Here is a 12,207-nt window from a genome sequence, read left to right as displayed (position 1 = left end):
AAAAGCATTTTAGGTCTCCGGCAATCATCAGTTGATTGATTTACAAGGAGGGATGTAGGTGTTTGTCTGTCTTTGTAGTGGTCACAGATAGGGTTGGTGATGAGAATGTGTAACAGTGGGCTTAGCTCTGGCACTGAGGAGTCAGAACAGATGCCAGCTCTAAACTGTGGAGAGGGCTGTGCTGGTGCTCACCCGCTGGGTGTCAGCCCTGGCCCTGTTCTCATGGAGGCAGGGGATTGAGGGTAGGAATTGATGGGCAGCATGAGAAATGAAGACTCACCATTTGGGCTGTGGAGAACCAGGGTGAGAGGAGTCAAAGAGGAGGCTATGTTTCCAGCTGGGGAGGCCTCAGTTTCCTCATCTGTAACTTAGAGATGTATTAGGATTAGGGTCAACTGTGAGTAACGGAAAATCCCCAAGTAACAATGGTGTAAATAAGACAGCAGCCTACTTCATTCAAGTAAACAAAGTCCAGAACTAGTATATGGCTCATTGGAGTTAGGGACTTGAGTCCTTTCTGCCTGTTGGTCCCCCATGTGTAGTTTCTGTTTCTCAGGTCACCTCTTGGTTCAAGATGGCTGCCAGAGCTCTGGCCCATGACGGCCTCATTCCAGCCAGCAGGAGAGAGGAGGGGAGAAGAGGTAGCCATGGGCACATGCCAGCTGTCTTTAAGGAAGTTTCTTGGGGCCACGCACAGTAGCTCATGCCTGTAATCCCAGCACTTTGGGAGGCGGAGGCAGGTGAATCACGTGAGGTCAGGAGTTTGAGACCAGCCTGGCCAACATGGTGAAACCTCATCTCTACTAAAAATACAAAAATTAGCTGGGCATGGTGGTGGGCGCCTGTAATACCAGATACTCGGGAGGCTGAGGCAGGAGAATTGCTTGAACCCGGGAGGTGGAGGTTGCAGTGAACCAAGCTCGTGCCATTGCTCTCCAGCCTGGGCAACAGAGCAAGATTCTGTCTTTAAAAAAAAAAAAAAAAAGGGTTTTTGGCAACTACTCTGCTTAAATCACAGTGGGGAAGCTGGGAAATGAAGTCTTTGTTCCAAGTGGTCCTGTGCCCATCTAAATGAACATTAGGGGTGTCATTTCTAAGATGTGAAAAGTAGATACTGGGGGACAGTTTGCAGTCTCTGACTTCGGGGATCCCTCATGGTTATGGTTTTTAAACAAGATCACTCCCAGGAAGTTCTTAGCATAGTGTCTGGCCCAGAATAAGCTCCGTGGTGTGAACTTGGATGTGTTACCTCCCCTCTCTGGGTTTCACGTTTGTTTCCTCTGACATGAGAGCTTAGTGGTTAAAGTTGGACTTGAGTCCCTTTAGCGCTAAGACCCTAATACTAGCCAGCAGAGGGCAGTATTGCTGAGGACAAGGGAGCAGAGGGGGCTCCCAGAAAAGGCATCAGCAGTGTCAGGAACTTTAGAGCCCAGCGAGGGGTCCTGACCCAATCTGCCCACGGCTCCCTGCCACCCCAACAGGTGTAAATTGATGGCTCGAACACTGACTGTGGGGGCTTGTGCTGCCTGACGTTTGATCATGTTATTAAATAGCAATAATTATTTTTGGTGTGAAGACAGAAATGCTATTTTAGAAATTTTGGAAGAAGCAGTAAAACATATAGAAGGAAAATAAATTCATCCCTGATCACACACCCAACTATAACCATGGTTGGCATTTTTATGGATATGTCTTTTGAGTATTTTTTGTAAGCAGTTTTTTAGCATGTATAAATATGATATGATGTTGTATATAATAATAGCAAATACCATAGCTTTTACTAAGTACCAGCTACTATTCATCGCACTTTGCATGTATCAGCTCATTTAATATTCCTGAGGTTGGCACTGTTAGTATCTTTCCCATATTGTGTTGAATCCAATTTATTTGTGATTTATGTGTTGTGACCATCTTTTCCATGTCATAAAACACCATGTAGCCACATCATATTTAATGGCTACATTAGAACATTCTAGTGTAGGAACGTGTCTCTTTATCCAAGACTGAACTGTCAGACTCTGGGATTTCTAGTTTTTTGTTATTTTAACAGCTCAGATGAATGTCCTTATACCTTCGTTTCCCCCACTTGCCTGATTATTTGCTCAGGATGAATACCTAGAAATGGAATTCCTGGGTCAAAGGTTGTGAATGTCATTGGCTTCCAGAAAGATAGCAACAATTTAGACTGTTACCCCAGGGAGGGAAAATACCCTTTTGTGGTGGTGGATTTGTCGCTGTGAGTTTCCAACTCAACCCCGTTTGCTGGATGAGCTTGTTGTGGTCTAGAGGGAAAGAGGGGACAGCACTTGTTTAGAGACTCAGAAAAGCAGGACAGAGCCAGCCTGGGAACCCCGGAGGTGTACTACTTCCCCAACTGCTCATGCCCTGTAGAGGGCGCCAGTGTGCCTGCCCCCCCATAATGGGTGGGGTGGCCCGGCTGCCCTGCTGATGGGCATGTGCAGCCATCAGTGTGGAGATGCCCGCCTGCTCGGCTCCCGAGGCGAGTTTAGCTGTGGGATGCCCGTTGCTGCAAAGCTCCATCTGGCACAAAGTTCACTATTTTTCTTAATTAAGGTGAGCTTGGTCTGTGAACACTTCCTTGAAGATCTAACAGTCATTACTGTGTAGATTTTATACTGACCCCCAAATCACATTTTCAAAATTAAAAATTAAATTACAATTAAATGTCAGCAGCAGGAGGCGTGGCTGGAGCAAGCTGGGATGTGGGGGGCTGGGGAAGAGAGTGGTGCTGAGCCCTAGCCCTTATCACCTCCTGCTTCCTTCTTCACTCCCAATGGCTGCTCATGCTGGTCTCCTTGCAGCACTGCACCCATGTCCTGCTCCTCTAGGTTCCAGGCCTTTCCATATTCTGGCCCCTCACTCAGTCTGGAATGCACCTCCTGGTCCTCACTGGCCCAGCTTAAACTGTCGTTCTCAGCTCGGTTCCCACAAAGGTGCCTTCACTGTGCAGCAGGGGCACCCCTCCTCTGTGTTCTCCCAGTTCCCCTGCCTCCCCCACAGCACACCAACATCATCTGCTTCTCCTTGGCGCTCTGTCTCCTCTGCCCCATTCTGATCTTGCTGCTGTGAGGAGAGATCCAGAAGAAGCCTGGTGTTGGCGCAGAGCAGACATGGGTGTTGTGCGGTTACTGGGAGGAGAGCTGTAGATGCCACATAGCTCCCGGCTTGGGTGGAGGGGTGGATGGTGGTGCCATGCCCCAAGAAGCAGGAAAAACATGGAGTCTTTCCTGCAGAGTTGGGAGCCCTCCTGGGGGCTTGTCTAACCCTCAGCCTGTCTTTTTCAGCTTCGAAACGGAGCTCCCCTCACCAGACTCCCGAGTGACAAGCTGAAAGCAGTCATCCCCCCATTCCTACCCCCTTCCAGTTTTGAGCTGTGGAGCTCTGATCGGTCCCGGACGCGTCACAACGGGAAGGCAGACCCCATGAAGACTGCGCTGCCCCAGAGAGCCAGCAGGGGCCACCCCGTGGGCGGCGGGGGCACAGACACTGTAAGTTGTCTTCTGACACACTTTTACACATCACTCACTGCTCACTGAGATCATGGTGTGTTCCAGGCAGCGGGACCTCAAACCGACGAATCCAGAGGGGTTGCAACTTTTTTTTTCTTTTGAATGGATGATATCCTTTTGTCTAATGAAGCCCTACAGAGCAACTCAGTATGGAAAATAGATTAAAATGTTGAGGTAGCAGGGAACATCTGTCCCCTCACTGGAACCCTAGATCTCCAAGGAGCACAGTTTGAAGACCTGATCCATCTAATCCAACCTTCCTTTTAGTAGATGAGGAAACTGGGACCCAGGGAGTGGGAGTAATAGCTGAAGATCACCAGCCAAGTGTGAGTGAACCATAATCAAGAGCAAACACTCAGCGGCAACTCTGTGTGCTACTGGTGTTTTCTTGTGCCCAAGAGTATGACTTCTATCCTTTTGACTGTAGTGATTTCTAACTTGGTGGCTCTTGGTCTGTTTCTGAAATTGACAGTCTCATCAGTGTGGAAGGTATCTGTGTGTAACCTGTATCTAGATGGTAGATGCAGCAAATGGGCAAGACGAAGGGATTCAGGACTGACCCTGTCGCCATGTGCTGGGTGATTGGAGAAACGTGTGGCCTCTATCTCTATACGATGGGGCTGACCCCAGCACTCACTGCTGCCTCCTAGGGCTATGATAGTATGAGATCACCTGCAGGAGACCAAGAGCCTGGCGCCTGGAGATGCTCTCAAAACAGGCAGGACAGGTTTGCATTTAGTCCACTATTCTCGATCAGGTAGGAACGGGGGAGTTGTAGAACCCATCCCTGAGACTTCTTCTATGGCTGTGTTTCCTTGAGAATTTAACCCTAGAGGGACAGAACATCAACTTGACTTGCTTCATTTGCTCAGTGAACATTAACTGAATCCCACTGCCATGTAGCCCAGTCAGCCCCATTCTGCCCTAGAAGAGGTGGTGGTCTGGGTGGCAAAGACACAGGCACAGAACATGAGGCAGGGAGCAGTGTTAGGAGTGTGGGAGCGCCAGAGAGGTGACCGTGTGTGGTAGGGCACTCGGGAGGCCTCCAGGAAGAGGCGACAGCTGAGCTGGGATTTGCAGGCTGTGGAAGAGTTTTCTCCCCAGTGGAGTGCAGGCAGCAGCGTCCCAGGTAGAGGGAGAGAGAACGTGAGCTATGGCCTTTGCAAGTGTGTTCTGTTTCGCTTACTCAGCAGAGGGGCCTCATTCTGGGCCCTGGGGATCGTGTCACTGTCCCTCCCTTAGGAGTGCCCACAGTGGGGGGCCAGGGCCCTGGGATCTGTCACTGTCTCTCCCTTAGGAGTGCCCACAGTAGAGGACCAACAAGAGGACCTTCGTTTTGGTGTCCTATGGCTGCTGTAACAAGTCACCACAAACTGCATGGCTTAAAACAACAGAAATGTATTCTCTCACAGTCCTGCAGGCAGAAAGTCTGAAATCAAGGTGTCAGCAGGGCCCTGCTCCCTCGGGAGGCTCCGGGGAGATCCTTTCTTTCCTCTGACAGCTTCTCTTGATTCTAGGCTTCGCTTGGCTTGTGGCTGCATCACTCCAGTCTCGGCCTCCGTGGTCACATTGCTTCCTCATTTGTCAAAATTCCCTCTGCCTTTTCTCTTATAAAGATACATGTGATTGCATTTAGAGCCCACCTGGATAATCCAGGATAAGCTCCTCCTCTCAAAATCCTTGACTTGGGCACATCTTAGGTAAGCACATATAAGCTCATCCTCATTCTCATGCCTCATAAGGTAACAGTCAAAGGTTCTGGGAATTAGGACACTGTGTATCTTTTTGGCGGCTGCAATTCAGCCCACTGCAACCTTTAATCACATCTACTGAGTGCCTTCTTTGTGCCGAGGCCAGAGCTGGGTACTAGGCATATAGCAGAGAACCAAGTCCCCATGGAGCTGGCAGTCCACTGGGGCATCATACACACAGGCAACCGCAGTAAATGTACACTCACAAGCCATGGTAAGAGTTACAGTGTAAGCGAAGAGGGTGCTGGAAGGGATCACAGCCGTGTGTTGAGGAGCCTGCCCTACACGGGAGCCCACCCTAGACCAGAGCCCATATTATACCGCTTAGGCAGTGAAGGCCTCCGAGACCTGAGAGCCAAGGACCGGGAGGAGCCGCTGTGGGAGGAGTGGGGTAAGGATGGGGGGGAGCCGCCGGGTCCATGTAGAACAGACTGCCTGGGCAAAGGCCCCAAGGCACAAAAAAGATCAGCAGGAAACCCAAAGGAGGTTGGTGTGCCTGGAGCAGAGCAAGCGAAGCAGAGGGTGGAGTGAGGTCAGGGTGGAGAGGACGTGACCAGGAGCACTGGCACCAGGGACAATGGGGCCAGGAAAGACACCATAAAGGATGTGGGGAGGAGAAGATCCATTTCAGGCTGAGGGACCAACAGAGGCAGCATCACGGAAGCAGGCTTGGAGCTGGGGTGCTGGTCACTGTGCCCGGCGGTGCTGAGGGGGCTGGATTTTGTCCTGGATGTGCTGAGGCCTCCGTGGGTTGTCAGTGAATAACATGGTCAGGTTTTTTCCTGGAAGGCCCTGGAGTTGAATGAGACTGAAAGCAAGGTGGCCCATGGGAAATGATGTGACATGGATTCACTGAGCTAATGGGCAAGTTGTCAGCACATAGAAGCAAGCTCCATCCCTCAGGGACTCCCCAGCTGGGCCCTGGCAGGGCCATGCTGGGCACAGCGAGCTTTGGTGGGGTATGCACCAGCTGAGCACAGGAACCCCCACACTGTGATCCTGCACGGCTGGAGGGAGGAGCAGCCTCCCTAAGTGCTGCACCTGCCTTATTCTTGTAGACACCCGTCAGGCCTGTTAAATTTCCAAGCCTCCCCAGAAGCCCAGCCTCTTCTGCCAATTCTGGAAACTTCAACCACTCGCCTCATTCATCGGGCGGCTCCAGTGGGGTAGGTGTGAGCCGGCACGGTGGGGAGCTGCTTAACCGCTCAGGTGAGTAGCTGGGCAGGGCCACTCAGGGAGGTGGGGTGATCCCTTGGGACTGAGGGTGTGCACTGCCTGGATATTCAGGTTGCAGACAGTCGCAGAAATGACCACGCAAGAGGCACTTTCTCCTTAATGTGGCTAAGAGATTTTTCAGTGAATTCCCAATTCAGAGTTTTACACATTTTCTTGGGGATGCAGATGGATGGAGATGGAGGAAGATAAAGTCCAGAATGCTTTTTTTTTTCTTGTAAAATTTTACAAGAGATTAAGGGAAGTGCATGATGTTTTCATGGTGTTTAAAATCTCTGAAGGTTAGACCCTGGAGAGCTTCTCATTCTGCCCCTTCATTGAGCAGATGAAACCGAAGTTCACAATGGGCAAGAGATTTGCTTAGGGTCACACAGCAAGTTGGTGGCAATTAGATCTCAAAGCAGAGTGCCCCAAAGTTATTATGGGCTTGCAGCATACTTTCTAGTCCTCCCTAAGGTCATCCAGGATTAACCAAAACCAGCTTTGCAGGAAGGCCACTGTATTAGTCTGTTCTCACGCTGCTAATAAAGACATACCCGAGACTGGGTAACTTCTAAAGAAAAAGAGGTTTAATGGACTCACAATTCCACAGGCTGAGGAGGCCTCACAATCATGCAGAAGCTGAAAGGCACATCTTACGTGGCACAGGGCAAGAGAGAGCTTGTGCAGGGAAACTCCTCATTATAAAACCATCAGATCTCATGAGAGTTATTCACTATCATGGGAACAGCACAGGAGAGACCCGCCCCCATGATTCAATTACCTCCATCAGGTCCCTCCCATGATGCGGGAATTGTGGGAAATTCAAGATGAGATTTGGGTGGGGACACAGCCAAACCATATCAGCCACCCTGCTTCTAGTGGAAAAAGCTTTAAGACCAGATGAGCCAAGAGACTAAAACAAAGTATAATCTCACCCACTACAGATCATCATTACCATTTTCATATATATATTTGGAAAGTGTTTTTCTATAGATTATGAATATTTATAAAAAGGCACAATAATTTATGGAGCACTTAATATTTGTCAAGTAGCGTGCCAAGCCCTTCGAATGAATTATCTCCTTCAGTGCCCCAGCAGGCAGTGAAGTTACCACCTCTGTTTTACAGATGAGGGATTGGGGCTAAGGACAGTTAGATAACTCGTCCGGGGTCAAATAGCTATTAGTTGGCAGAGCCAGGATCCAAACCCAGGCAGTCTCACTTCAGAGCCTGTTCTTGGAACCACGTGCCTTTCTAAACTATAAACTGCTCTGTAACTTGCTTTTTTCTTTTTCCTCACATTGCTAGATTGTGAGCACCTTTTTATGTTGATACATATATATCTACAGCACCTTGTTTAATAATCAAACAGTATTCCATTTGTATGAGGCATCACAGTTCATTTAACCAATTCCCTGTGTTGAACACTGAGGCTGTTCCTAGATTTTTGCTTTTTATAGGTAATACCTCCCTACGTAATACCTTCATGCCTCCATATTCACCTGTATGTTCAGTGATTTCATTTATTTAAATTTGCTGGAATCAGGGTGGCTGAGTTTGTGAGTATGCCTATTTTTGAGGTTTTTGATATGTTTTGCCCTCCAGAATGGCTCTGTTTAAACATGTGAAATACTTACAGCAGCGCCTGGCACATAGTAAATCCTCTATAAATGTTAGTCATTAGTGTCCCTCTTGAGCACCCCCCAGCCCTGGGTATTATCACTGTTTTCTTTTCTTTCTTTCTTTCTTTTTTTTTTTTTTTCTTTGAGACAGAGTCTCACTGTTGCCAGGCTGGAGTGCAGTGGTGCGATCTTCACTCACTGCAGCCTCCCCCTTCTGGGTTCAAGCGATCCTCCTCCCTCAGCCTCCCAAGTAGCTGGGATTACAGGTGCCCGCCACCACACCCAGCTAATTTTTTATATTTTTAGTAGAGACAGGGTTTCACCATGTTGGCCAGGCTGGTCTCGATCTCTACCTTGTGATCTGCCCGCCTCGGCCTCCCAAAGTGCTGGGATTACAGGCGTGAGCCACTGCACCCGGCCCCTTTATTTTATAATAGTTCAAGGTTACCAGTAGATTTGGGAAGCAGGGTGAGGGAGAATGGCAGTCAGGGTTCAGTCAGGAAGCAGAGCACTCTGAGCATTATGGAATTGGGAATTTATTGACTCAGTCGTGAGAGTAGGTGGCCACATAAAGGGAGAGTCAAAGGGTGAGGGACCAATCACTCACTAGCCCTCCTGAAGCCCTGGTGCAGCCAGACAAGACGGTCTGTGCAGCTGCTGGCCGGCTCTGCAGAGGGGCTTCTGTGGGCATCGAGTGCAGGGTGTTGCATCTGTGCCTGGTGGGGGCCGGCACAAGCTGGCTGTGGCACGGGGAAAGCGAGGATGGACTGGGTTTTGCCTTTGCTGCTGCTTCCCACCTCTTACCATTACGCCTTCGCAGCACAGAGCCTGCTGCCTAAACATCTACCTCCTGGTTCTCCTGCAGAATTCTCCTGTGGTCAGTCCTGTCCTGGAGCCACATGGGGAAGGGAGTCTGGGAGACTGGCTCCAACCCAATCATCACACGACAGTCCACCACCCTTGTGTTGGAGTAAGCCCTCTGTGCCCATGGTGTTCACTCATTTTGTGTTTCCTCAGGTGGCAGCATAGACAATGTCTTGTCCCAAATCGCTGCCCAGAGGAAAAAAGCAGCCGGATTATTGGAGCAGAAACCCAGCCATCGGTCAAGCCCTGTGGGGCCAGCACCGGGGTCCAGCCCGTCTGAGCTTCCAGCCTCCCCTGCAGGTGGCAGCGCTCCTGTTGGCAAGGTGCTTGTTTTGTGTGGCCTCCTCCTGTTACACTCACAGATTCTGTTCTAACATGGGCCACTTGCCGGGAAGCATGGGCAGTGCCTTAGTCATGGGACAGGACTAAAGACAGGCCCCTTCCAGCCAGCCACTCCTGGGCTGCATGAGAAGGGCTGAAATGGTCCTCCGCACCAGGCGTTTACCTCCCCTCACATCTCCAGGTTTGAGGGGCACTGGGCTGCTGCACAGTGGCAGGGTACACACCCACTTCCTGCAGTCCCACAGGTCACCCAGCCTCACACTGCACACATTTGTTCATTGATGAGGATGAATGGTTTAAGAGCATGAGTTGAGGAGCAACCTGCCTGGGTTCAGCTCTCAGCCCCACACCTCAGCATTTAGAACAGGGCCTGGCACAGGATAAGCTCATGTCCGTGTTGGCTGTTCCTGTTGACAGCGTTCTTAGTGGTCTTTGTTGTCCTTCAACCTTATTCATCCACTGTATACATCCTGGGAGCATCTGCTCTGTGCCTGGCACAGCTAACAGTAAGGATCCAACTGTGAACTGGGAAATTTGGCAACCGCTCTAAGGACACAGGCAGTCACAGCTCAGTGTGATAGGGGTTGTTGTGGAGCAGGAAGGATGCTGTAGGGGCACAGGTGGGGGGCCCTACCCAGGTTTGAGGGCATCAGGGCCATCTGGATGGGGATCTGAAGGATGAGAATGGAGCCAGGTAAAAGGGGTGTGGGTGGGCCAGGGGTGTTGGTGCAACTGTTCTGGTGTGAGGGAACAACTTGTGTAGCACTCCAGAGGTGACAGCGTGGCCTAAGGGAGGAGCTGAAGGAAGGACATGAGCAGGACAGAGCCGGGACCTTGTCTCCCTGCTTCTGGGCACTGTGCTTCCATTAATGCAGCCAGAGAACAGTCACCACATTGTTAGCATCTACAGATAATGCAGTAAGCAAGAAAACCTAGATGCCTTCCTGGAACAAGAAGTTTTTTAGTGTCTTCAGACTCTGCCTCTGCCTCCTGAACCTCTTTGCCTTGGTTGATTTCTGGGTGAGCCCCCAGAGTGCGGGTTCCTAGTCGTGAGTGTGAGCTGGCTCCTCCACCAAGTGACTCCCCAGTAGTGCAGCATAACCCTTTCCTCCTCTGAGGGGACTCTATGTCCAGGCAAAACCCCACTCTTCATAGTTCTTAGATGTCATAAGCTTCCTTCAGTGAGAAAAGTCCAAACACAGAAAGCCTCCCTCATCCATGGACCTTTGCCCACCAAAGAAGCGCCTCCAGAGATTTATGCTCCCAGGATGTACATGTACTGTATGAGAAATAGTCATTTTCTGCCCAGCCACTCTTGGTTACACAACTCTTTTTGTTACTCAAGATCCCTTGTGCAATAGGACCTATATAATTAGATTCCTTTCACAGTATAGCTCCAAAAAGATTTTCTCCCTACACATTTGCTTATTTTCCATTTTTTTATCTTCAAAATAATTTGTGTAATACGTCCTATATGATTAAGTTCCTTTTATAATTCGGCTGTGAGGAAAAAAGTCTCTACTGATACTTTGATATATTTTATTTTATCAGATAGTAAGAATTTTTAGAATTATTGTATTTCTTTCTTTGCCTTTGCTACTAGGAAACTCAGCTACTCATGAAGCCTACTGTTTTGAGGCTTTGATATAGTGTTTCTTGTCTAAAATTTTGTTTCTATTCTGATGGTCTTATTGGATGTGTTATATGTTAGCTTCCTTTAATTTTTATTGGAAATAAGGCATTTCCAAGTTATAAATTATATTAACTATTCTCTATTATATGAACTATTATTTTGATGTATTGATCATACATTATATATAAGTATATTCTCATGAAAGGAGATTGTATCAAAAGATGCATTCAGGAAGCAGTAAACTGGGGAAACCATCCATTTCAATGATCACCTGACATTTATAACATAATGTTAATAGTATGTTATGATCTTGAGGAGCTATCTAAAAATTCAGGTTTCTGGGCTCCACCCCAGCATACCTGAATGAGGCTCTCGGGAGGGTCTGGGGAATGTTATTCCTGCCAGAGCATCTGTTGGAACCAGCCCAGTCCGGGGCTCATAGAAACCACAGTCTTAAATCAAAGGACACAGAAGTGGGCTTTCTATCCCAGCAGCAAGATAGAGACATGAAGTGCTTTTTCAAAGATAACCTTAGTAAAAATTAGAAGTTAGTATTCAACATATGAGCCTCCTCAATCTGGTTTTTGTACTTTGCTTAAAATAACTCGCTGTAATGGTGGAATATCCACAAGGCATGGCATCTAGCAGGGCCGTGAATCAGTGTGATATGAGTTCCAAGAGACACAGCATAGGTGGCGTTAGAGTGTGCACCAATACTTCCCAGATCTCTGGAGGCCTAAAGGCCTACTAGATATATCAGCTTTCTATTCCTACCTTAAAGCTCAGTCATTTCAAACAAAAACATTACTTAGCTGCTTGTGTGTCTGTGGGTCAGCAGTTTAATCTGGACTTATGTGGGCAGTTCTCTGGTCTGCAGGATCACTCACCTGGCTGGTGGCTGAGGTGGCCAGGACAACTGAGCCACATGTGTCTACAACAAGCTTGGACATGTTCTCAGGGCAGTGGCTGAAGGCATGGGTTGAAAGCCAATCAGGTTGTTTAAGCAAGTTAGTATGCCTGTGGCAGGAGAGCACACAGAACTACATACAGAGGGAGGGGTAGAGATGATGTCATTAACACAATCAGCCTACCACTCAACGGATATTGAGAACAATTCAAATATTTCACAGAATCCCAAATAATCTTATATTTACCCACCTCTTCCCCAGTATGTTGCCCATATGGTCCAGAGTATCATGTTTCTTTGCTTTTGGCTGGAATAGATCTGTGGGGATATACTAATTATCTCC

At 48.7% G+C, this 12,207-nt stretch overlaps 1 protein-coding gene across 1 annotated transcript in view, besides 1 other annotated feature; it reads left to right on the top strand.

The window, feature by feature from the left end:
• The window catches only part of ANKS6 (ankyrin repeat and sterile alpha motif domain containing 6), a 64,547-nt gene that overhangs the window by 19,170 nt on the left and 33,170 nt on the right, over positions 1-12,207 (top strand). The window contains exons 9-11 of the mRNA NM_173551.5: positions 3,306-3,509; positions 6,340-6,490; positions 9,136-9,305. Coding sequence (NP_775822.3) covers positions 3,306-3,509; positions 6,340-6,490; positions 9,136-9,305 — 525 coding nt within the window. The remainder of the gene's footprint in view (positions 1-3,305; positions 3,510-6,339; positions 6,491-9,135; positions 9,306-12,207) is intronic.
• Positions 6,265-6,559: a silencer, noted in NCBI's record as "tiled region #9654; K562 Repressive non-DNase unmatched - State 15:Elon". NCBI's record gives its function as "represses a minimal TATA promoter and a strong SV40 promoter by Sharpr-MPRA in K562 cells {active_cell/tissue: K562}" and the evidence as "EXISTENCE:reporter gene assay evidence [ECO:0000049][PMID:27701403]".

The sequence above is a fragment of the Homo sapiens genome, chromosome 9 (genome assembly GCF_000001405.40).
Source record: "Homo sapiens chromosome 9, GRCh38.p14 Primary Assembly".
Classification (NCBI taxonomy): Eukaryota; Metazoa; Chordata; class Mammalia; order Primates; family Hominidae; genus Homo; species Homo sapiens.
Note: the sequence above shows the minus strand (reverse complement) of the source record. Positions and strands in the feature narration are given on the sequence as shown.